The sequence below is a fragment of the Homo sapiens genome, chromosome 14, assembly GCF_000001405.40.
Source record: "Homo sapiens chromosome 14, GRCh38.p14 Primary Assembly".
In the NCBI taxonomy this organism is placed as follows: Eukaryota; Metazoa; Chordata; class Mammalia; order Primates; family Hominidae; genus Homo; species Homo sapiens.
The window spans coordinates 22,268,337-22,295,045 of record NC_000014.9 but is presented as its reverse complement, the minus strand read 5'-3'; the positions used below and the strand labels follow the sequence as shown (position 1 = coordinate 22,295,045).

Below are 26,709 nucleotides of genomic sequence, written 5' to 3'. Positions count from 1 at the left end.
TCTGAATTTGCAGATGCCACGTGTAAGAAATAATCAAACAGTGCAATTCTGAGCTACTGTAGAGGAGGCCTGTGTGGCAGATACTCTCTGGGTTACCTGCTTCATCCCCTTCATTAGGCAGAAAGTGTTTCCTCCTGTCAAAAAGCGGTTTAAAGTTTGCTGTATTTGAATGGAAATGCTGATTCCTGGTGTCACAGAGAAAACGCAGCTGTAAAAGAGACAAGACAAAGAACTCAAGTTAGAGAGTGCATTAAAGCTCCATGTTGTTGGTTTTGTTAATAACCAAAGCAGTCTACAAATGTTATCCCAGAATGTTACTAAGAAGCAAAATATCCATAGGGATTAACTGATGGAGTCACAATACCTAAAGGTTCTGGTTTGACCAAGTTCTTAGACAAAGACTAAGATGACTATAGGCACAGAAGCAGGAAGTAGACATTCTAGCCTAGACGGTGGGGCAGAAAAATAATTTGGGGTAGAGGAAAGATCAGATTAACTCATGCCTACTTACCTATTAGATTTTTATTTTACGAATACCTCTAGATGTCATTTTTTTCATCTTTTCCTCTTGTTTCTTCATTAGCCTGTATTGGCTCTCTCATATCTAGTAGAATATCTGTTATAGTATGGTATTGTATATATTGTGTGTTTCTGTCTAGGCCAGGGTGATATTCACAACTTTTATTCTCCTGTTTAATAACATATTTAGTGTTTGGTATGAAAAGCAGACACAGACTGGGAGTGGGAGTCAGTGCGAGGACAGAATCCTTGCGGAACCCCCTGCTATCCCATGTAGGGCAAGGGAGGGACTTCTCTGGATCTTGATTACCTCAGATAAATAATGAGAAAATAGGATTAAACAAAACAAAACAAAAAGACTTTTTTTTATTTTAACTTTAATCTCCACAACTCTGTTTCCCCTCTTCCATAGGTTTTATCCACCCAGGAACGTTCCCCAAGGAGAGATTTATAAGAAGAAATTTAAGAAGAGAAGTTGCTTAATCTTAGAGTCAGGATAGTTTCAGAAACCAAGTCTAGGAATTTTACTCAAATTTTTGGGCCCTCCATTCCTATGTCACTCAATCCTAGGATCTGAGCAGCAAAACGATTTCTTCTCTCTTGTCCCCATGGAAGTCTCCAGAGCAGGGCTCCTTATGAGGGAGGGAGAGAGGGGAGGACTCCGGCCTCCTGCTTTGCCTTTAGAGGTTTGTGCTGACTTCCTGCTGAGCTATTACCATCTTTCACCAGAAGTTTCTACTTCTATGTTGAAAGAAAATTTCAACCTGAATTTGGGAGTCCTGGAGTAGTTCAACATGTTTTCCTACTTTCCATGGATTTGTTGGAGAGAAAGTGCTGTGGTACCTAATTTCAGTAGATTATACAGACAAGAGGCAAGAAGTACAGCAGCCACACTGAGAGAGTGAGCCTTTTGTCTGGATTATTGAGGCCACATAGGTATCTTTTGAGAAAGGCAACTTTTGGTTACATTGGATGCAAATAGAATTGCTTTAATTCTTCTATGGATAGAAATTGGGGACTGCGTTTACCTCTAATTGGCAAAAGGAAATTTTAGGCATTTGCAATGTGTGTGTGGTTTGCTAGATGAATAATTGAAAGCATTTACATGAAGCAGGAGTGCAAATGAGAGCAGCCTGGCATTTTCTATTTGTTTTTTCATTGCTTACTGTTACTTAAAAGTGTGACCAAAGGCACACACTAGTGATTGTTGTGTAGAACCCTCCTTTGGGAAAGTGGATGAATCGGAATACATTATTTTCTTTAGCCAGTTGATCTTTCAAGAAGTAAATATTTATTTATTACCAAATTTGAATAGGATGCTTTATTGGATGCTGTATATGAACATGTGTGTGTATGATTGGGAGTGATGATGGTGGTTTAATTTATATGTTTCTATGTGTGTAAATCATAGTTCTGAATATTGACACATATAAACCTGTACACGATTAAGTAGAAATATAAGTCAATGTTTTAAAAAGTCCCCCATATGGCAGAGTCAAGAAGTTGTATGTGAGTTGATTAGCAAAGTAGATCATTATGGGCTATATAGTCTAAGTTGTATTTGCTGAGGATCTAGATGGATAAGCAAGGATTTGATAGAGAAGAAAGGACTGCTGCAATCTTAATGTTTGTCTTCCCCCTTGGAATTCATATGTTGAAACCTAATTGCCAAAGTGATGATATTAGGAGGTGGTGCCATTGGGCGGTGACTATGTCATGAGGGCAAAGCCCTCATGAATGAGATTGGTGCCTTTATAAATGAGGCTCCAGAGAGCTGCCTTGTCCTTCCGCTATGTGAGGACATGATGAGAAAATGTCACCTATGAGCCAGGAAATGGGCCTTTACCAGATACCAAATCCATTGGTGTCTTCACCTGGGGCTTCCCAGCCTCCAGACTCTGAGAATAAATTTCTGTAATTCGTAAGCTACCTAGTCTATGATTGTTATGGCAGCTTTAATGAACTAAGTAAGACAAGGAATGATCATAGCATTGTGAAATACAGCAACTAGAATATATTTTCCTTTTTAAGATTAAGACTAGCATGGGATGTATTACTACTGAGTGGAAATACAGAGCTCTTATACACCCCCTCAACCCTCATCCTCCCCATTTCCCCTATTATTGACATCTTACATTAATGTCATACTTGTGTTACAATTGATAAGCCAATATTAATATATTGTTATTAACTAAAGCCCATAATTTACATTAGACTTTGATCAGTGTACACTCCCCATAGTTTTGTTTTTGTTCAGAATGTTATATAGTTGGAATGATACAGTATATAGTCTTTTCAGATTGGTTTCTTTCACTTAGCAATATACAGTTACAGTTCCTCCACGTCTTTTTGTGGTCATGTCTTTTTTTTTTTTTTTGGTGAGATGGAGATTTACTCTTGTTGCCCAGGCTGGAGTGCAATGGCATGATCTCGGCTCACCACATCCTCGTTCAAGCGATTCTCCTGCCTCAGCCTCCTGAGTAGCTAGGATTACAGGCATGTGCCACCACACCCAGCTAATTTTGTATTTTTGGTAGAGACAGAGTTTCACCGTATTGCCCAGGGTGATCTCGAACTCCTGACTGCAGGTGATCTGCCTGCCTCGGCCTCCTGAAGTGCTGGGATTACAGACATGAGCCACTGCGCCCGGCCTGGTCATGTCTTTTTATCATTGAATAATATTTCATTGTATGGATGTACCATACTTTGTCGATAGATTCACCTGTTGAAGGACATCTTGGTTGATTTCAAGATTTAGCAATTATAAATAAAGGTACTTCAAACATTTTCATGCAGATTTTTATGGGGACAGAAGTTTTCAACTCACTTGAGTTAAAACTAAGGAGCATGATTGCTGAATCATATGGTAAGAGAATGTTTAGTTTTATGAGTAACTGCCAAACTATCTTCCAAAGTGGCATTCCTACCAGCAATGAATAAGGGTTCCTGTTGCTCCATATTCTCACAAAATTTGATGGTTTCAGTGTTTTGGATTTTAGTCATTCTGATAGGCAGGTAGTGATATTTCACTGTTTTAATGTGCAAGTCCCTAGTAATATTTGATGTTAAGCATCTTTTCATGTGCTTCTTTACCATCTATATACTTTGTTTATAGTCTGTTCAGATAGTTCAGATAGTTCAGATCTGAGGTGTCTGTTCAGATATTTGCCCATTTTTTTCATTGGGTTTTAAATGTTCTTATTGTTTTATTTTATTTTATTTATTTATTTTTTGAGACGGAGTCTTGCTCTGTTGCCTAGGCTGGAGTGCAATGGCTCAATCTCGGCTCACTGCAACCTCCACCTCCCAGGTTCAAGTGATTCTCCTGCCTCAGCCTCCCAAGTAGCTGGGATTACAGGCTCCCGCCACCATGCCTGGATAATTTTTCTATTTTTAGTACAGACAGGGTTTCGCCATGTTGGCCAGGCTGGTCTCAAACTCCTGATCTCAGGTGATTTGCCTACCTTGGCCTACCAAAGTGCTAGGATTACAGGCGTGAGCCACCATGCCTGGCTTATTGTTGAGTTTTAAGAGTACTTTGCACATTTTGGATACCACTTAAAAAATACATATGCATTTTGCAAATATTTTCTCCCAGTCTGTGGCTTGTCTTTTCTTCATTTTCTTAATTTCTTTTGATTTTGGAAGTCTTTTATTTTCTTTGAAAATATCTATGGTGATTTTCCAATGAGTGCCCTTGGTGATATAAAATATTTCCTCCCTCTACTTGTAATTGAGATTATATTTTTGAAATGTATTAATATTCTTTTCTCCTTTATATTTTCAGATACATAACCTTATCTATATTCTTCTGAGGAATCTATCTGTCTTGAGTGGGGAGAGATTAGATTATTCTGAGAGGAATGGAAATAGAAAGCATTAATATTCAGCTCTGACATCTAAATTTGGATCTTTGATTACTTAACAAGAGAACTGCCTTAAAAGTAAGGTTTTTTTCAGGTGTAACACTTTTTCTTAATTATTTATTGTATTCTTTACCATATTATATGTAAGACCAGCTGGACTTGATCATAGAGTTTTACATCAGTTTGACAGAAAGGTGCAGGACAGAGAGGGAGGTCAGTTTTTTGGGTCCTAGAGGGTAAAGAAAAATGGAGGCAGAACAAGGAACTTAGGTGTCAGGACTCTGGTCTTTCCCCTGGTCTGCTATGGGCGGACACTGATTGGGTTAGGAAAGGCTAGAAGCATTTAGATAAGTATGGGAACAGCACAAGAGTACTGGGTAGTAGAGCACCTCTCACAGTGTTCTAGGGGCAGGCTGCATGTCTCTGGGGGAAGTCTTACTTAAGTCGTGGGAAGATGGCGCTGGAGAAAAATCAAGGCTTGGCTACATGAGTCAGAGGCTACTTTCTAGAATCCCCATGGTCTGTTTACAGGTGCAGGGAATACAGAAGTCCCCAGGGGTCCAGGAAGTAGATGCAGAGAATTGAGAGAGCTAGTGGCCTGGCAAAGTCCTGGGCTAAGTACAAAGAAGTGCCCATGATGAGGGTCTTTGAGATGGAGTCAAGCGGCTGAAACAATTGGCTTCAGCAGTGGTGTCAACACATAATCCCAAAAGTCCAGGTAGGAAAATCCATATATAACTAGGTACCTACACAGGGAACAGAGTAGATTGGCTGCTCAGCTGCTCAGACCAAAAGATCCAGAAGGCAATGCATGGATTTAAGCCTATTTTTTTTTTTTTTTTTTTTTTGCCTCAGGTGACACTCAACTGTCTCACCTTATCACCTAAATTTCATCACGGAAAGAAAAGGGTAAGGTGGTTGAATTCCAAACATATCACCTAAAGAGACTGAGTCATCTAAGAAAGAATTTACATCAGCCCTAACATGGAATTGAACTTAAATGAACTGAATATTTAAAGTGAAAGGAACTCTTTAAACCTGAATAAAATGAGACATTGTTAATTGCAATTTACAAAATTTAAGTTTCTTGACTATTTGGTAGATGGGATCATTCATAAAGAAGATTAGATATATTAGAGAAATTTTTTTCTTTGTGTGTCTTTTTATATGTATCTACATATTATGTGAGTTTGTTATCCTACCATGTCAATTTCCTTTTTCTCTGCCTCATTCATTCATCCACCCCACTGAATTCACACACTGTTTTAATTATCTTTGAAAAAAGTATAAGGCACAGAAAAATCTACAAAAACAACAGCAAAGAAATACAAAAATCAAGAAGAAAAAAATAAGGGCAGGAACATAAACCTTGAATTAGATTTGGAATTAAAATATATGCAATCAGCCTCTATAGTTGGAGTTAAGCTAACATTGGCTCTGAACTTATTAGCAGTCAATGTAAAGAAGGAAAACAATCAGTCCTGTGATAATTACCTCATCCATATGATAAAAACAAACTACAAGTGTAGGTACAAATTATCCATGTAGGAAATCTTAAGAGAAATTTTTCTTATAGCATCTCATAGAACATGAGGTAATATGTAAACTGTGTCCCCAATAAAGAAGCTATATTATGTCCAATGATGAATTCTGTAGGACTGTTGTTTATGATATACTTCATAGAAAACTTATTGCATTATGACAAAGCACAGTTCCACGAAGGAAAGAAAATGGTAAGGTATTGGCTCAATAGGAATCCTGCATTGAAACAGCCAAGATGAAGATTATTTTATAGCTACAGGCACTTTTCTGGAAGAGAACCTCCTGGGAAATCTAAGGCTAGATCAAACTGCATAGTAGGGAATGGGGAATAAGGGAGTTGCCAGAATATGGCCTTTTTGAGAGGAAATAGGTATACACTCCTCTCTCTCTCTCTCTTTTACTGTCACTCTCATATAAGTCTATAAGACTGTAAGATATCCATATATATATATAAGAGTTTGCTATACATACACACAGACACTATATAAATATATTACCCATGTAGTAAATCTTAAGAGATTTTTTCTTATAGCATCTCATAGAAACAAGAGGTAATATGTAAACTGTGTCCCCAATAAAGAAGCTTTCTTCCTTCCTATATATAGCATGTATGTGTCGTGTGTGTGTGTGTGTGTGTGTGTTTGTGTGTGTGTATCTTTGGTATTGCTTAGGGTATCTTTACATGAGCTTTTTTTTAATCAAATAATATTCTGAATATTTCAATGCTTGTAATGCTCTCTACAACTGGGTGTCACTTTGTCTGCATTATGGTTAATTATTTCTGTATTTTTCTATATTGAGGTACCTGACTCTACGTTTCCTAAATTTTATTCAGAACTGTGTTATAGATAACTTGTGGTTTATTTAATATATATTGAACAGTAAAGCCATGATCATCATAAAACCTTAAACATTCTCATGTATTTATTTATAGCTATCATATTTCTTGCCTTGTGACTACTGAATGCTAATAAAATATAACCCTTTGATAAATGTTTTCTAGGACATTTTATTCTGCATTCTTTAGCTATTTTTGCCAATGTTTCATAACTTCATTTTCCTTCCTTTCCATTTCTGTCACATTTATCTCAGCTTTAATTCCTTATCTTTGAATATCTATGTTGCTTTAAGCAATTTTTCTTTTGCTCTTTCTTTCTCTTTAACTGTTTTCACTAAGTGCTGATCATATACTTATATTTTCTGACCTGTCTTACTTCTTCAATGTGTTCTCAAATATTTGTGGATACCTCAACAATGAGTATATTTTAATCAAAATAATATCTTTACTTTGGCTCTTATTGCCTGCCAGCTTTCTTCCTTCCTGTCTTTATCCCTCCTTGATTTAAAGAGACATCCAAATGAACTATTATTCATAGCATATGAGAATCTATATGAATAAATAGGACTTTCATCTACAGCTAAAATGCTCAAGATTATACCTAAATAGTTGGTAATTTAGAATGATTTTCCTGACTTCATATTTGTTGCTTTCAAACTTTTTCTGGAGTTTTAGATTTAGAGTATAACATTGGGTTTGGCATAGAAAGTTATATCAAGCTGTCTCTTTTTTTATTCTTTAGTTTCAGTCTGCCAAATATACAATTTAACACATCCCTCAGCTAAATTTGCCCTTAAAGAGTCCTTATTTGTCCCTTTATCTGCTGAACACATTGAAATTATCTTGAACAACTGTCTATGCTGAATTTCTGGTCAACAGAGCTTCTATATTTTGGTGAAGCAATTTTATTCATTGCTTTTTGCTTGCTATGTTGAAATGTAAGTTTGGGCGATTTAAAAAATTATTTTATTGGAATTGATATGTGAGCTTATTACTGCTTTCTGATGGCAAAAAGGAGTTTGAAATAAATTAATAGCATTGGGGTCATCTGTTATTTTTACGTATCCTTATTCATTCCTCTTCTAGTAGCATCTTGGCTTTGCCTTGAGGAACCACCTCTGCCTGTTTCCCAAATCTGAAGAAATCAGTCTAAGCAAAGTCAGTCCAGGATATTTTCTGGAAATATCACAAAAGAAGCCTGTTTCTTCTGCTGGAGTTGTTAATTTGGCAGGTATGGTAAGGAGAGAAGTAGCTTTCCAAAGATGTCTCTCTCATCCACTGGGGCAGTTATACTCCAAATGCCATAGACTGGGTGGCTTTAACAACCAACATTTATTTCTGACAATTAAGGCTGGGAAATCTAAGATCAAGATAGCAGCAGACTCAGTGTCTGGTGAGGGCCATTTCCTGGTTCATAGATGGTACCTTCTTGCTGTGCTCTCACACGGTGGAAAGAGCAAGGCAGCTCTCTGGGGCCTCTTTTATAAAAGCACTAATCTCACTCATGAGAACTCCACCCTCATGACCTAATCACCTTTCAGAGGTCCTACCACTTAATACCATGACCTTGGGGATTAGGACTTCAACATACAAATTTTGAGAGGACGCAAACATTCAGTCTATAGGAATGTCCACCACCTATCCTCAGAACCTGTGAATATGTTACTTTATGTGGCAAATGTCCTTGAAAATGTGATTTAGAAAATGGGATTCACCAAGAATCTTAAGATGGGAAGATTATTCTGGAATATGTGGGGGATCTCAATGTAATCTCAAGGATCAAGGCTCAGGAGGGCCATGAGGGTGACAGGAGATGAGACAATGGTGGTAGAGGTCACAGTGCTGCGATTTCTAGTTTTGAAGATGGAAGAGGGCCATGAGCCAAGGCACGCAGCAGCCTCTAGAAGCCAGGGATGCTCAGGATTTCACTCAGTCTCCCCTAGAGCCTATAGAAGGAACACAGCCCTGCCAACACCTTTGTGTTAGTGCAGTGAGACTTATGAGCTCCCAAACTGTAGGATAATAAAGTAATATTGTTCAAGCCACCATGTTTGTGATAATTTGTTACAGCAGCAGGAGGAAACTAACACAGTAGGACACAAGTCTGAGGCTCCTGGCGGCCATCTTTGCCATCATGTGGGCCTGAGCTTTCTTCAGAGTAAAGCCAATATAAACAAGAGCCAAACGATAGAGACACGCTGTGGTGACATTATTTGAGCATTTGGTCAGTCCTTCCTAAAGTAGTTAACCCAGATTTTTCAGTTTTATTAGCCAACAGATTTTTGTTTTGTTTTGTTTTGCTTCGGTTACTTTGATCTGGGCTCTCTCTTACTTGCATACTATTTTATGTACAAGTATCTTTTTAAAATTACAGTTTTACTTATTATAGCTCCAATTTGGAAACAATGTACTTATCATGCTTACTGTATTCATTGATTTACTCGATCAATAACTCAAGTTAGGCCGGGCACAGAGGCTCACGCCTGCAAACCCAGCACTTTAGGAGGCCGAGGTGGGCGGATCACTTGAGGTCAGCAGTCTGAGACCAGCCTGGCCAACATGAGGAAACCCCCACTAAAAATACAAAAATTAGCTGTGCATGGTGGTGCGCACCTGTAATCCCTGCTACTTGGGAGGCTGAGGAAGGAGAATCACCTGAACCTGGCTGTGGGAGGTTGCAGTGAGCTGAGATTGCACCACTGTGCTCCAGCCTGGGTGACAGAGTGAGACTCCATCTGAAAAAAAAAAAAACAAAAAAAAAAAACAAAAAAAACCTCAAGTTATTGGGTAAAATGAGGTGTATTTCAAAAATACAATATCTTGTAGCCATGGGAAACTCATGCTATAGAAAAACTGCTTGTTTATGTGGGAAAGCTTTCACAATATATAATTTTTCACTGAAGCAAAAAAAATTGAAAAGCATCATTCATAGAAACGCCCAACCATATACAAAAAAGTTTTAAAAGTTACAAAGGAAGGATCTTCCTATGATAACTTGGAAATTCAGATAACTTGGAAAGGTTAGAAATTTCTTCTAAACTCTTGTATTCTTTAAAGAGTTATACAAAATGACATTTGAAACATTTATTAATGCCCCTGCCAAAGACTGCATTTTAAACTTAAACGCTATTGAAAAATGCACTGAAGAAGTTTAAAATATTGTATAGTCCCAGGTCAAATAATTATAAACTAATGTTAAAAAGGCAAAAATTTCCTATGTAAACAATAATGGTAATAGTGTTATTTTTACATTTAACTTCTATTAATAAGGATACTTGAAATAAGTCTCATCTTGCAATTACTACTCTAGAAAAAGTGAGGACTACAAGTGCATGTATGGTGCAGCACTGTTTTCATGAATTTCTTTCTTATGTTCTATGTGTCTATTACATTAATAAGACTGAGATGCTATAGCAGTTTGCCACCCTTTGGGAAGGGAAAAAGGCCAGTGGTCAGGGAGTCGTACATTGTGTGATTCTAGGCATTTTGGCCTCTTTGAACCTATATTAATTCTTCATATAAAACTGGGATATCAATAGTAGCTACAGCATGGATTTGTTGGGACTACTAAATGAAATAAAGCATGTCATGCACCTCTCAGAATATGGGGCGCATATATATATATATATATATACTCAATAATTGTTAGCTACTACTAATATTTTTATTATCAGCATGATACTGTTGTTACTATTAATTTTTGACATGCCTTACAGTCCTATGAGTTAGCTCAGAATTCTGAGTTAACACAACTATGGAGGAGATAACAAAATAGAAAATTTATCCATTTTTACTCTATAATGTTTAATGAGGAAAATGCCCATCAATTAATTACCTTCATTCAAAAAACTTAAGAATCATTTCTGTGAATTAAAGATTGTTGGAGGCACAGTTGCTATTGAAATGGGTAAAACTGTGTCCTTGGTAACTAACAGTTTGCATTTTAGTGGGGAGACAGTGAAAAATACCTGTAAACACCATAAGGTGTTGGATTTGCCACGTTAGAAATATGCTTAGGGTTTCAGTTAGGAGATAAAGGAGAAAGTGATCAGTTCTACCAGTGCAAAAGGGTCAGGACAAGGATTCAGAGAAGAGGGGAGGTTTGCGAACCTTTCAAATAATAGGCAAGTGGTTAATTGGGGATGGGCATTCCATGCTGAGGGGACAATGCTGGCAAAGGCATAGATGCAGGAAACAATTTCATTTGCTGAGCGGATGGGCGTGTACAGTTTGGGGGGATGGGAATATGGCAACAAATGAGGCTGAGTTGCTAAGCAGGGTACAGACTAATTAATCCATCAGTAGATGACCCTGACCATTTACCCTGTTAGGCATGGTAAGTGCTGGAGATACAGTGGTGGCCTCCGCTTTGATGGACTTATATTCTAAATAATCACTGGGCCTTTCTGTGGGAAATGAGGCTTTATTGAGGCAGAGGTGTGTGTACATGATCTGATTTTTATTATAGGATGCTCACTGGGACAGCTATGTGAAGCAATGTTTGAAGGGTGTATTTTAGTCTGTTTTCACCCTGCCAATAAAGACATACCTGAGACTGGGAAGAAAAAGAGGTTTAATTGGACTTAGAGTTACACATGGCTGGGGAGGCCTCAGAATCATGGTGGGAGGTGAAAGGCATTTCTTACATGGCGGCGGCAAGAGAAAAATGAGGAAGAAGCAAAAGCAGAAACCCACAATAAACCTATCAGATCTTGTGAGACTTAATTCACTATCATGAGAATAGCATGGGAAAGACCAGCCCCCATGTTTCCATTACCTCCCCCTGGTTCCCTCCCACAACATGTGGGAATTCTGGGAGATACAATTCAAGTTGAGATATGAGTGGGGACACAGCTAAACCATATTAAAAGAGGACACAATCGAAGGTAGAGAGAGTAGATTAATGATTATTTATTAATTCAAATGAGAGGAGCTGCGTGAAAGCACTAGAAGCAAGGATAGAAAGAAGTGAGCTTTGATATGAAACTTGGTAACTAGCCCGAATCTAAGTCTGGGTGACTCATGGGCCTCAGGGGTAAAAGGGAGGACAAAACCTGAATAGCCTGAAGGTGTCTTCCTCGTGTGAGAGAAAGGTTTTCATTTTGATTGGTGCCTACCCCACTTTTTCAGACAAGCAGAAGCCTGGGTGCTAAGCTGGGCTAGGGTGTGGCGTTACTGAAGCTGCTGTGTTTGGGAAATGACTCGGCAATCTGAATTATGATTCTGCAGTTTGGTCTTGGCCTCCCCTTACCCTCTTCCACATCCAGTCACTCTCACCACTCATTCCAAACAGACCCCCAGCCTAAGCTCTGGAGCCTGCTTATTGGACTTAATTATTTCGGCTGTTTGTCATTCCAAACTTCCTCTCGCCACCCACAGTGAGCAGATGGAATAAAATGCTCCACAAGGGGCTTAATAGTGAAGGAGATGTATTGGGGGAATTGTGGGCATAAAAAGAAATGTTGGCATTATTTTTTTCATTTATTTTAATTTTTCCCTTAGCATAAGGGAGAATCCTCTCACGGTCCAGGCATCTCCCAATTCTCAGAAGACATAGGGGTGGAGACTTGGACCATGGCAGCTGCTTGGTCTCCCTGTTGGACCAGGTTTATCAAAATTGTCACCACCTGCTAGGTTGCCTTACCAGAAGCAATTATAGCATTACCAGAAGTTAACTTCCTCTTTTTTTTTTTTTTTTAGCGTTTGCTGGTGAGTACTAGCAGTACATGAAATCCTACTTGACAGTCGTTTGCTTTCTTTCCTTACTTTCTTATGTCAAGACAAATGATGCTTTAAAGAACGTTAAGAAATACAGGATTAAGCCAGGTTAAAGTCAGAAAGAATGACGGATAGAGGGGAAACAGTGAGACTGACATGATGTAGTGTTTTTTTTTGCACCATTTTATAATTAGAATGTAATAAGGTATGCATAAAAATCTGATAGCCCAGGCTGGAAAGTCGAGGGTGAAGAAATTCCCCAAACTGGAAACCCAGCAATAGCAAACTTTTATTGTGTTCCTGAATCTTGAGCAAGGCTGAGGAGAAAAAAATGAAGAAAAAATAAAGGTTTGTGGAGATGGTAAGAAATTCAGTTTTGGATATATTGACTTTGATATGATCATGGGATGTACAGATAGATAGTAATTAAAATAATAAAGCAAAAATATATAATTCTAAAAGAATATAGCTTTAGGTCAAGCTCTAAGATTCTCTGGATAGCAGTGATCCTTAGAATATCTGATCTGACCTATGTAACACACAGGCTTATGCAGGTTTAATGGATTAACATGTGAAGGTACTTTGAAAATCTATAAGGCATGTGTGGATTCATTATTTTATTACTATTTCAAAAATTACAGCTTATAGACATCCCCTCTGTGTTTCCTATAGTCAGATACATTTTTTTTTCTTTAGGGAAGACAATTATTTCCTCTTTATGTTCCTATAACCCTGAACACTTCCCCCTGACCTTTGCACAGATGCTGAGGTCTGAGGTTTCTGTAAGCCTCTCCCTGTTGCTTGTCTCACTGTGCGCTCCTATAAGCACAGAAATACATCGCGGCATCCCCCAGCTGTGAGTCTGAGATCTTGAGACTGAAGGATTTGGCTGCTTTCTGGAAGTTCACAGAGAAACGATTCTCTGTTGCATTCTGTTGCTTATAAGCTTCTTGGCGAATAACGAGAATCATCTGCCTGCTGGGAGGCTGCTTGTACCAGAATAAATAATAATCACTCTCACTGGTGTCATATGTGCAGCTCAGGGTCACGGTCTCTGCCTCCTGCACAGACATCTCTGGTTGAGACTGAGTGACTGTCTGAGCCATGCTAAATTCTGTGGGAAAGAGGAGAGAAAGGACTTCACTGGGATACCATGTGAGAGACAGAAACAGACTCACAAGCCTGTTCCCATTGCCACCCGCCTTTCTTCCTCTTGATCCAAACCTCTGACAAAATCCATCAGCTTTCTTGCCCCTAATAGCTGGGCCCAGTGAAGAGATTAGATTCTTGCACTATTAATCTTTCTTCCCACTTCTCTGTTCTATTGAATACTAGTTAAGGTGAATACATGCGCCTTCCTTACCAAGACAGGTGGAGATCACAAGTGCCCACAGGAAGCCAGGGCATGCCATGCTCACAGGTCCCTGCTGCAGGGTGAGAAGCCTCCTCTTCTGATCTGAACCTTGAGTATCAGCTGCACTGGTGCCGTAGCTGCTTCAGAACAGGAAATGGGATGTCAGGTGGGCTGTTTATGATGTCTCCCTTAGGGAAAGCTCTTCGATACTTTTTGTCTTTTGCTTCAGAGAATAAAACTTGGACCATAATATTTAACGAAAAAAGATGTTGTTGGAACTGTAATTTATTTGGGAATAAACATGAAGAGGAAAGGGAGCTGATACATTGTTTTTTAAAGACATAATTTGGATAGGAGAATGAGATGGGTGGGGAAAAGACAGGCCAAGCTAATGCTGTGACTTCAGTTTTCTCTATAAGCTTTTATTGTCTTTCCTTTCTCTCTCTCTTTCTCTCTCTTTCCTTCCCGTCTTTCCTTCTCTTTCCCTTCCCCTTACTCCTCTTTTTTCCTTTTTTTTTTCTTCCTTCCTTCTTTCCTTTTTTTCTTTCCCTCCTCTGTCTTGAAGCCAATATCAGAAAATTATCTCTGGGTTATGATAATACAGGTATTGGTTATATTATTGTTTGACCAAATTGTATTTTAATACTTTGAGAAATGATGAAAAATAATGACAACAACAATAACATTCAGATAGTCTAGAGAAAATTGAAACCAGACTTTTGATATCTAATTATACTGTAATTTGCTGAAGACTTTCTTTTTTAAAAAAAGAATACCTGATTTTGGCTGTGTCAAGGAGCTCTACAATACTGGTGGCAAGGGCTTTTGTGAGCTTCTGTTAATGACTTTGTGAAAGAAGACTCAGAACAATCAACATAAAATTCATTTGGGAACATTCTGTGTTGCACATCTGACAGCTTTTCATTGGCATCTGATTTTTTCCTCATGCACACATTCTTCTTTGAGGGAGGAAAGGTCAGGAATTAGTCTGCATTTTATAGAAGAGGCAACAGAGCAAAAATGAAAACTCACAATACAGAGAACTACTAGTTTCATTTGCATTAATTTTCTCTCCCTATTTAATTTGTGTCATCCAATCTTAGATAAGGCTTCTGTATAGTTCAGCTTTATGTAAACTTTTCCCCCTGTAAAACAAGAAGGAGAATAAAAGACTAAATTAAAAGCTGACTTGCCGTATAGGGAGTGGTGGTCTTAACTCTCCCTTCCCATTTATTATTTCCACTTGGAAATGGTGCTAACAGTGGGCATTTTGCCACAGCCGTTCTTAACTCCGGAGGACTTCTTAAAGTACAGCATGTTGAGTTTCTTCCATAGGTGGTCTACTTTTCTTGTTTGCGTGGTGTTAAATTTCTGCACTACCTACTATTTTCTGGACAAATTCACAGGAAATTGGCAAATATGCTATTATTTTACAATTTACCCCCTTCTCCTCTCTTTTTTTTTCTTTTGAGACAGGGTCTCACTCTGTCACCCAGGTTGGAGTGCAGTGGCGCAATTATGCAACCTCAACCTCCTGGGCTCAAGTGATGCTCCCACCACAGCTTTCCGAGTAGCTGGGACTACAGGCATGTGCCACCACTCTCTAGTCTGTATAGGAAGCTCCAGACGATTGGGCTGTCTTCTCTCCCAGTCTCAGGCCAGCTGCAGCTATCTATGAGTTCACTAATTAGGGTCTCAAGAGTAAATGTTTTCCGCCTCTTGCCTGGGCTCACTGGGCCTGCAACTGCAATGCTGACTGGGGATTCCAGTGCTGCAATGCTGAATGGATCTTGCCATTTTAGATGAGATTGGGCACATTTGGGGTGGTGTGGCCATAGATAGATCTTGCCACTTTAGATCTTTTTTGTGATCCTCTGGGACCTATGCAATCAGAACTTTAGTATCTTGTATTTATCATTCAATCAGTTCCAACTTCCACAGTTAATCAAATTATTGAACATTGAAGACCAAATAAAGCGATGTATATAAAAGAACTTGCAAGTGGGCAAATACGGGTGGGGTGGGCAGACGGCTGCTTTTTTGTGGAAGCAGAACCCCTTCTGGGCAGTCTGAGAAATTTTACTGTGCTCCCTTGGGATATCAACCCTATCTGGCAACTACCATCATGGGATTTCTTACTGGAGTTAGCTAGTTAGACTATAAAAAGTAAAAACTAGGAGAAAAATATGTGAGTATCACACGCCTACTCTCAGGTTCTCGTGGGAGAATTTTTACAGATGCAAAAACTGAGGCATACCAGCAATTAATGGCACAAGTGGGAGAAGCCGCTCCAATCATTGAGACAGCCCCTCTTAGATGAGTGGGTCTTGACGAAAGAACACTCAGGGTCCCTGGTCCTAATCACCTCAGACAGCTCATGATCAGGGTTCTCATGACTCTGAATTCCTTATCTGATAATACAGTGAACAAAAAGCTTTCTAAAAGTCTTTTAGAAAAGATTTTCTCTGATTTGTTACATTCATTTACAATATTCTTTTGGTCAGAGGAGGTGATGAAGATGGTTTACTAACCCCTGAGTGGAGGTCCCAATGCAGGGTGGAGGGGGTGGTGCATTTAGGTGCTTTCAGGGGCATGTAGGTTCCCTGCAGCACAGACATAGATGGCTAAGTCCCTCGACTGGGTGGTCTTGTGGTTCAGGGAGAGGGAGCTGGTACTAGCACTGAAGGAGGCTGCTTATCTTCCCCTGCACTACAAAACCCTAGTTAACAAGAACAGAAACAAAGACATCAGATTTATTCTAGATCTTTTTCATTCTGTCCCATGGATCTGAAACATTGTTCAAATAATTATAGTAGATGACAAAACATCTTTCCTTCATGGATGGTGTGATAGTTAATTTTAGGCGTCAACTTGACGGAATTAAGGAATACCTAGAGAACTGGTAAAGCATTATTTTTGGGTGTGTTTATGAGGGTGTTTCTAGAGGACATTGGCTTGTGAGTCTTAGTGGAATACATGGGGAAGATCCATCTTCAGTGTGGGCATCCAATCTGCTAGAGGCCTGGATAGAACAGAAACCTAGGAAAAGCAACTTGGTCTTTCTCTTGCCTGGAGCTGGGATACACTCTTTTTCTCTTGCCCTTAGACACAAGAACTCTGGGATCTCTGGCCTATGGACTGTAGGATTTATGCCAGTGGCCCCCTGGGTTCTCAGGCTTTTGGATTTGGACTAGTCACACTACTACCAGCATCCCAGGTTCTCCAGCTTGCAGACAGTCTGTCATGGGACTCCTCAGCCTCCATAATTGCATGAGCCAATTCTTCTAATAAATCCCCTCTCATATATCTATATATTCATCCTATTGGCTCTGTCTCTCTGGAGAACAGAGATTGGTTGTGTCTCTCTGGACAGATGGTCAGAAGAGCATTCCTCTTCCTTCATTTGATAGCAAATTTTCTTAAAAAAGATGAATTAAGGGTAAATTAAATAAAGGGTAAATTAAATGTTTTATTTATTCTTTGAATCCCTTCTGTAAAATATAGAGACTAGTTCTCAGAACCTTCTGAGTCCTCTGTGTCCCTGATGAAATGAATTCACTCAGCTCTCACCCAGGCCAAAGCCACCAGATCACAAATACAGTTCCTAAAAGCTCCTCCATGGTTTGACCTTTTTAATTGGTGGAAAACTTGATTCCAGAATGTGGAAATCTGACCTAGACTCTACGGATAACATAGGATTTGTTCTAGTTATTTTGTATGTATTAGGAATAGCGGATTCTTCAAAATGAGATCGGTTTTTTGTAAGTAACTGCTATCAACAGGAGCAAACAGTGCCCTCTTCAGATCAAAGAGATAATTACAGAGGCAGTTTCTAGGATTTTCTGTATGGAAAGAACTTGGTTTAGTAAGAAATGTATTCTAAAAGTAATCTTTTTACCAGTTTCAGATTTATGTTTCCACTAAATCAAAAGACTTGGATGTTTGAAATGTATCTGTCCTTTCCTTTATCACTGCTTTCTTAAATTCTACCTTCTATCACATCTTACCTCCTCAGAGAAACCTGTTTCTTTTCCTTCATATTCTTTCAGAAATATAGCATGATTATAATTTAAACCTTAAGCATATTTGTGCCTTATCAGCACTTATTATGTGCTTAGTACTGTGCTAAGAGCAGTGAGGAATTGTGAAGGGTACAAGGCAAACTCTATCTACATAGAGAATATAATGTATTTGGGGAGGAAAGATGAGTACCTTGAAACAACAGCAAATGTCTTAGGAAGGTATGTCAGTAAGAGTCGGATTGTTTGGTCCACAGTTGGTACTGTATGACATTTGGAAGAGAAGGAATTAAAGGATTGTTTGATTATTAGAGAAGAAATCTTAGAGGGAAGAGAGATTTCTGGTGGTCATTATAAGATTAATATGGTTTAAGCAGTCTGAAATATACACAAAAGGGAAATTTGGGTGGGTGGAGCAACCAGTAGAGAAATGCTAGAGCCAGCAATGAGCTTTAAGTCCTTATGAGCCAGTAAGGGGAATAAACTGACTAGAAGAGAGACGTATTTTGGGAATAACTAGGAATGAAGTTTAAATAGTAAAGGGTCAGAAGATTTGGGAAGGGGAAATGAGAGACAGTTGAAAGAGCTTAAACTTGGAAAGTAAAGTTTTTGAACACTGAAAAGACGTAATCACATATCTGCAGAGATTGGAGTTTAGTAAATGCGATCTGCCTCATCATCTTTTTTTTACAATTTCTCACTCAAGTACACACTTACCTTTATTAGCTTAGCCCAGTAAGGTTCACCTTGAACTCTCCTCTGTTCTTTCTTTGTTAAATTTTCAAAGAATCTTTGGATTTCCAAAGATTCCCTGTATTAGTTTGATTTCCCCCCAAGACAGAGCCTGAAACTACCTTGGGTGCAGGTAGTTTATTTAGGAAGTGATCTCAGGAAGCAGGAGTGAGAAAATGGGTAAAGCAGGATACCCACTCTCACCACTTTTATTCAAAATAGTGCTAGAAGTCCTAGCCAGAGCAATTGGTAAGAGAAAGAAATAAAAGGCATCCAAACTGGAAAAGAAAAAGTCCAACTATCTGTTTGCTGATGATATGTCTTATACCTGGAAAACCCTCAAGGCTCCTCCAAAAGACTCCCAGATTTGATAAGTGAATTCAGTAAAGTTTCAAGATACAAAATCAATGTATGAAATCAGTAATATTTCTATACATCAGTAACAACCAAGCTACAAACTAAATTTATAATAGCCACAAAATAAATAATCCCATTTATAATAGCCACAAAATAATACCTAGAAATACACTTAAACAAAAAGGTAAACGATCTCTACTAGGAAAACTACAAAACACTGATGAAAGAAATTGTGGATAACCCAAATAAATGAAAAAACCTCTCATGCTTATAAACTGGAAAAAGCAATATTATTAAAATGACCATATTGCCCAAAGCAATATGTAGATTCAATGCAATGCCTATCAAAATACCAATATTACTTTTCACAGAATTAGGAAAAAATGCTAAAATCAATATGAAACAAAAAAACAGCCTGAATGCCAAAGCAATCCTAAGCAAAGAGAAAAATCTTGATGCATCATATCACCTGACTTCAAATGATACTACAAGGCTATAGTATCAATATAGCATGGTACTTGTATGAAAAATAGACACACAGATCAATGGAACAGAATATGGAACCCAGAAATAAAGCCACATACCTACAACTAACTGATCTTTGACAAAGTAGACAAAGACATACACTGGGGAAAGGACACCCTATTCAATAAATAGTGCTGGGAAAATTAGTTAGCCATACACAGAAGAATGAAACTGGATCCATTTCTCTTACTATAAAGTCAAGATGGATTAAAGACTTAAATATAAAACCTGAAACTATAAAAATTCTGTAAGAAAACCTGGGAAAAACTCTTCTGGATCTTGGCTTAGGCAAAGAATTTATGACTGAGATCTTAAAACAAATGCAACGAAACAAAAAATAGACTAATGGGACTTAATTAAACTAAATAGCTTCTGTACCACACAATATATAATCAAGAGAGTAAAGAGACAACCTACAGAATGAGAGAAAACATTTGCAAACCATGCATCCAACAAAGGACTAATATCCAGAATCTACAAGGAACTCACACAACTCAACAAGCAAGAAACAAATAAGCCCATTGAAAAGTGTGCAAAGGACATGAACAGACATTTCTCAAAGAAGACGTACAAATGGTCAGCAAACATGAGAAAATGCTCAACACGACTAATCATCAGATAAATGCAAATTAAAAGCACAATGAGATACCATCTCACATCAGTTAGAATGGCTATTAATAAGAAGTCAGAAAACAACAGATGTTTGGTAACACATATACACTGTTGGTGGGAATGTAAATCAGTACAACCTGTGTGGAAAACAGTATAGGGATTTCTCAAAGAACTAAAAATAGAACTACTCTTCAACCCAGCATCTCACTACTGGGTATCTACCCCCACAAAAAGAAATTATTATATCAAAAATATAACTTCACTGTTATGTTTATCACAGCACTATTCACAATAGAAAAGATATGGAATCAACCTAAGTGTCCATCAATGGATGGATGATTAAATAAAGAAAATGTCACACACACACACCATGGAATACTACTCAGCCATAAAAAGAATAAACTCATGTCTTTTATAGCAACATGGATGGAACTGGAGGCCATTATCTTAAGTGAAGTAACTCAGAAACAGAAATTCAAATACTACATTTCTTACTTATAAATGGGAGCTAAATAATGCATAGACATGGACAAAGATAACAGACATTGAGACTTGAAAAGGTGGGAGTGTGGGAGGAGAATGAGGAATGAAAAGTACCTAATGAGTACAATGTACACTATTCAGGTGATGGTTACACTGAAAACCCATACTTCACCACTACACAATATATCCATGTATCAAAAGTGGCACTTGTACTCCCTTGATCTATAAAAATAAGTTATAAAAGAAGAAAGTGGGTCGAGCAATAACTGACTCAAGTGGGACTCGGTTCTGGTAGGATCTCCCAAGAAGCACACAGGTTGCCGCTCAGAATTGTCTATTTAAGGGACGCAAAGCTAGTGCGTTTATTCCCTGGCTCTTTTTCCCCATTGGTTGGTGTTTGCCAACAGGGGTGGTAGTTTCCCTATAATTTCAGGCTGTGCTTGCCCTTAAACTAAGGGATCTCCTGAGACATTAGAGAAGACTTTGGGATAGAAAGCAACAAAACAAAACAAAACATAACATAACAAAACACAGAGTGTGCTTAACGCTGGATGTTACCAGCATGACGTGAGTGTGATTGTCTACTATAACTCCAGCTAAAATCAGACAGACATTCGGATGGGGCAACAGGGCGCATATATCAGTTACAGTCCTTTCTTTGCACTACTCAGATGCATGCTTGCCCTATATTATTTCCACTGTGTCACTGTGTCTTCAAGGTTGCCTCTGACTGCAATCTCTTCAACGCCCTTAATACAGGAAGGTTGCATGACATGAGCTTCTGTTCTTGAAAACTTCATTGCTGAAGAGTCTCAGTTCTTGGTCACGTTGCCCTTTTCAGGCCTTGCTGCTACAAGAACTGCCGCTTGCTGTTTGTATTGGGCACGGAAACATCAGGAGACACCAATGTGAAATACTTACATTATAGCCACATTCCTCCTCACCCTCCTTGTGTCACAACAACCTGGTGCTCCATGACAGTCAGGGTCAATGACCCCTTCTGGTCTAATAGCTCCTCTCTTTGCCTGCTGGGCTATTGGCACAGAGAGTTCAGAGTGACCTAAAAGTGGCAGCCATAGCTGCAGGTTACTGAATCCCCGAAGGGAGCATCCTTCTTTGGGAACTAGGACCTCTAATCTAGCAGAACCTAGGGTTGTGGGAAAGGGAAACACGAATTCTGAAAATGACTTATAGGGAGTGATAGGAGAAGACTCTATTCTATGTCTATTTCTTGGTTTCTAAACTTTTGCCACGACACCATGAATCAGCCAGTGGTTTAACGAATATTATCATTTTCTGAAGCATAGCATTCCAACCACTGAGGTGTTGCCCACGAGCTGGCCCTTCAGCGGAGCATTTTAAAGCCTTTTCATCATTCTTCTAGGTTCTACTGCAGTGGACCTAGGTCATCTCTTGAGTCTGGTGGGCCCAGCAAGTCCCCTTCGTGGTTATGCCACCGTTGTCACACCTGTTGTGTTCTAAAATGGGTACCTTATTCGGAGGAGATGCAGTTTTGGACCAGATGGACAAATAAAAGGACAAGCAACAATTAACAAATGGAAAAGGTTTAAAATTCCTGGAGGTAAGAATGCCCAGGCAAATTATAAAAATTTTCTGGACAGAGAAAATGCTTAGGAAATCTGACCTGTAATAAGTACCTTAGTGAAGGCACCTTGTAAAACTGGAATGCACTGCACACGTCATTATCTTTATGTAACTTTAAGGATTGAAGCTTGCAGACAGCCATCTCTCTGAGTTTCTTACAGGAGAAGAAATAGGAGAAGCTTTCATTTCCAAGAGAAGTCAATGATTTTCTATACCTATTACCCTACCACTTCCCTCTCACCCTGTGACCTTTGCACAGATGCTGAGGTCTGAGGTTTCTGTAAGCCTCTCCCTGCTGCTCATCTCATTGTGTGCTTCATGAAAGCACAGAAATACATCGCAGTGTCCCCCAGCTGTGAGTCTGAGATCTTGAGACTGAAGGATTTGGCTGCTTTCTGGAAGTTCACAGAGAAACGATTCTCCGTTGCATTCTGTTGCTTATAAGCTTCTTGGCGAATAACGAGAATCATCTGCCTGCTGGGAGGCTGCTTGTACCAGAACAAATAATAATTATTCTCACTGGTGTCATATGTGCAACTCAGGGTCACAGTCTCTGCCTCCTGCACAGACATCTCTGGTTGAGACTGAGTGACTGTCTGGGCCATGCCGGATTCTGTGGAAAATAGGAGAGAAAGGACTTCACTGGGATATCACGTGTGAGTGAGAAACAGACTCACAAGCTGATTCCCATTCCCCATTCCCACACACCTTTCTTTGTGATTCTAGCCTCAGGCAGCATATTTCTGCCTCCAGGTAGCTGGGCTCTAAGAGGCAATGCAGTTGCTGTTCTGTTAATCCCTCCTGCTTCACAGCCCCATTAGATGCCTTTATAAAGAAAGAACCACATCTTCCTTACCAAGACAGGTGGAGACCACGACTGCCCACAGCAAGCTAACTCGTGTCATGCTGACAGCGCTCCCCTGCAGAGTGAAAAGTCTCCTGCTCTGATGGGTTCTCCTCTGTGCTTGGTGAGAATTCTCCTTCAGGGCAGGAAATGCTATGATAGGTGGGTGGGTGACTAGGTTTCAAGGAGGGAAACATTTCTGAATACTTTTTGGTCTCTCAGAAAATAGGCCTCTGGTTATAATTTCAAATGAAAATAAAAAATGTTTCTGGAGTGCTTTTAGTTAGCCTAGAAGAAAAATAAAGAGAAAATGGAGCTGGCAAATTTGTTTTTAATACGACCTAATCTTGGAGAGGAGAGCGTGATCCAGAATGGTGAGCAGAAGCCTCTGACTCCATTCACAACAAATGGCAAACTGTGATTTTATTTTTCTTCTTATTAAAAAAAATTACAAAGCAAATCTTATGAAATAAGGACACTTAATTTTGAGTGATAAGAATATGCCTATTTATATTCAATTTTTTTACATTTTTATAATTTCTCAAAATAAAGAATGAGAAAAAAGATATATGCTTGTGGCTGAAAAGAGCATCGACTAAATTCAGAGATAAGTAAAAGCAGAATATGTAGTGTGTAATTGTGTTCACATTTTACATGGATTAAAAAAATAATCTTGTTGGCCAGGCATGGTGGCTCACACCTGTAATCCCAGCACTTTGGGAGGCCGAGGTGGGCAGATCACTTGAGGTCAGGAGTTCGAGACCATCCCGGGCAACATGGTTAAACTCCATCTCTATTAAAAATACAAAAATTAGCTGGGCATGGTAGTACATGCCTGTAATCCCAGCTACTTAGGAGGCTGAGGTCAGAGAATCGCTTGAACCTGAGAGGCAAAGGTTGCAGTGAGCTGAGTTTGTGCCACCACACTCCAGCCTGGGCGACAAGAGTGAAACTCCATCTCAAAAAACAAACGCAAACAAACAAATAAACAAAACCACCTTGTTTATGCTATATCAAGAAGCTCTGAAATAACTATTGCAGAAGTTCTCATCAGCACTAAATTGCCTCAGCTTAATTTATATTTATATCAAGAATTGCTCTTATCATTTTCATTCCATTTTGAAAAAATATTGTGAAAAAAACTCTTTTTAAATACCTTACTCTGATTCTTTAGAATTTTGCATTTCCAGAGGGAGCATCAGGGATCCTTATGTAATTCCTGAGTTGGGGTCCCCAAACTGGGCATTATGAATGGGGGCCCTGTTATGTACTGGGTGCTGTGTGAGGAGCATGAGTTCTCTGTCACAGAGGTAGGTGGCTGAGTGTCCCCTCTCAGAGAGATGCTTAAGGAGTTTGTAAGCACTGGGGCCCATCCTGAATGAGACTGCTAAAATCCCTTGTGCTGCAAAGCTCAGCTTGGTAGCAATAAGAGAAGGGGCACCAACATTTCTTCTGGATAATCTTCACCCTTGTCTCATGATTTGAATTCCTGTATCTTGGTTTTGGATCCCTAAAAGTCAGCTTCGACACAATAATTTGTGTGTAAATAGTTTATTATAGGTGATTCTAGGAAACTGTAGATCAAAAATAAAATTCTAAGGCCCCCCAGCCCCCCGCAACCATCTGAGTGGACTTCCTTCTTGGCCAGGGCTCTCTTAAAATTCAACTTGAGAGATTGGTTCAGGCCAGAATGGGAAGTGGGGGTCAGACATGCTTCATCATACCTCTCTGGCATTAACATCAACACAGACCTGAAGTCTGATAAGAAGCATTTACAATCCATTCTCTCTGAAACCTGCTACTTGGAAGATTCATCTGCCTGACCAAACTCTGGTCTTTATAACCTCTTATCGCAATACAGACATTTCCTATTAATTCCAGGTCTTTAGATAAACTCAACCAATTGTCAACCAGAAAAATATTAAATCTACTTATAAGCTGGAAGCTCCTCACTCCCACTGACCCCCTTGCCCCTTGCTTTGAGTTGTCCCACCTTCCTGGATCAAACCAATGTATTTTTTAAATGTATTTGATTGAAGTCCCATGCCTCCCTAAAATGTATAAGCCAAGCTGCACTGCGACCACCTTGGGCACATGTTCTCGGAACCTCCTGAGGGCTGTGTCATGGGCCATGGTCACTCATATTTGGCTCAGAATCAACCTCTTTAACTATTTTACAGAGTTTAACTCTTTTTTGTTTGCAAGACATGGGTAAGAGGTAAATCAGGGAAGGAAGGAAGCCAATACAGAATGTGCCATCAAGGCAGTTACCACGATGGGCAATTGCAGCTTTCTGCAGCTGGATAATGTTAGGGGTAGAAGGCTCTGAGTTACTGGTGGTGAATCCATATGGGTCTGCAGCAACCTCAAGTCTTGTCTCTTTAGCAGAAAGAATTTGACTGAGGGAAATAAGGCAGAATGAAAGACCAAGGCAAGTTTCAGAACAGGAGTGGAATTTTATTAAAAAGCTTTAGAGCAGGAGAGAAAGGAAAGTACACTTGGAAGAGACCCAAGCGGACAACTGGAAGGACAAGTGCAGCCTTTAACCTTAATCCTAAGATTTTATACACTGACCTACCTCCAGCATCTTGTGCCCCTTTCCCATGATTCTTCCCTTAGGATGGGCTGCCCGCATGTGCAGTGCCCTCCTTCCTGCTTGGGACGTGGGCATGAGCAGTGTGTTTAGGAAGTTGTACTCATGCACATCTGAGGCTTTCTTCCTTTTTCTGGTGGAGTGCCCACAGAAGGTCATACTCTGCTGTTTTGTCTCTTAATGTACATGCTGGGTTCACTCACCAATTCCTGAGATTTTATTGGAAGCTGATTACCAATCTTAAGTGTCTTTATCTGTTGGGGAAGTTGCCAGTGATAATTTGCTGCCAATTATCATTTTTAGAGAGGTAATGTGATAACTGCCGAACAATCGCCTGATGACTCCTGGTGGGTGGAGGGGAGAGCTCTCTTGTGCCCCATTCATGCCTGTCTAACTACCTGTCACAATAACTCTAAGAGACAGCATAGCATACTCTTTGGAGCTATGCCAAATGAGTCATGAAGAAACTGGAGTAATCATGCCTAAACTCCCTGTCTATCACTGATTAAGAACTGCTTTTGGGGCATTAACTCTTTTGCATTTCTGGCTTGTCCTCCACAGCCTCCACATTCATGGCCAGAAAGTCAAAGTCATCTTCAGGGTTGCTGGGATTTTCAGCGAGTGGTGTCCAGCATGTTGGCGTGACTGCCTAGGAGATATAGGTAGGGAACCAACAGTATCTATACAGTTCACTCCTTGCCTTGCTCAGATCCACTTGTGCTGTGTGTTAAATTCATATAGATCACTAGTTTTTGTTGTTGATGTTGTTTTGACAACAAGAGGGTTACTGGGACAAGTTACGTTTGTTATAGTTAGTTGCATGACTGCAACTCATATTTATTATCTCCTCCATCTACCTTCTATACTACTTATTCTTGATTCTCCCCACCTTCGGCTAGCATTTTTTTCTACTGCTCTAGATTTCTTTTCCAGGGAGGTAACCTAGACCTTCATCACCGAGGGGTATAAGCCCCTGGTTAGTCTGCTCTTGTCAGGCTGTAGTTGCTACAGTTGCCTATTTACGATAATCACTGACATGAAAGTGCTAAAAGTCATCACAGTGAATTCCCTGAGTTGTAGACATATATCCCCAGTTCCGCTA

General features: G+C 39.4%; 1 long non-coding RNA gene, 2 gene segments (V, D, J or C) and 1 further gene, besides 8 other annotated features; 1 reads left to right on the top strand and 3 right to left on the bottom strand.

Annotated features, from left to right (window-relative positions):
* Positions 1–26,709, bottom strand: part of TRA (T cell receptor alpha locus) — a 930,229-nt gene that overhangs the window by 257,087 nt on the left and 646,433 nt on the right.
* LOC107984649 (uncharacterized) lies at positions 4,313–7,977 on the top strand. Of its 2 annotated transcripts, XR_001750634.2 has the most exons (3): positions 4,313–4,463; positions 5,241–5,294; positions 7,852–7,977. It is a non-coding gene; the product is annotated as an uncharacterized LOC107984649 (long non-coding RNA). The 2 variants fall into 2 exon arrangements; XR_007064070.1 differs by lacking the exon at positions 7,852–7,977 and having other exon boundaries at positions 5,241–5,453.
* Positions 13,259–13,267: a recombination feature (nonamer).
* Positions 13,268–13,290: a recombination feature (spacer).
* Positions 13,298–13,895, bottom strand: TRAV38-2DV8 (T cell receptor alpha variable 38-2/delta variable 8). The segment is given in 2 exon segments: positions 13,298–13,597; positions 13,847–13,895. Coding segments are annotated over 2 exon segments (349 nt in total), but the record flags the coding sequence as incomplete, so codon positions are not given.
* Positions 13,587–13,597: a sequence feature (TRAV38-2DV8 leader sequence).
* Positions 13,847–13,895: a sequence feature (TRAV38-2DV8 leader sequence).
* Positions 22,444–22,452: a recombination feature (nonamer).
* Positions 22,453–22,475: a recombination feature (spacer).
* TRAV38-1 (T cell receptor alpha variable 38-1) lies at positions 22,483–23,075 on the bottom strand. The segment is given in 2 exon segments: positions 22,483–22,783; positions 23,027–23,075. Coding segments are annotated over 2 exon segments (350 nt in total), but the record flags the coding sequence as incomplete, so codon positions are not given.
* Positions 22,773–22,783: a sequence feature (TRAV38-1 leader sequence).
* Positions 23,027–23,075: a sequence feature (TRAV38-1 leader sequence).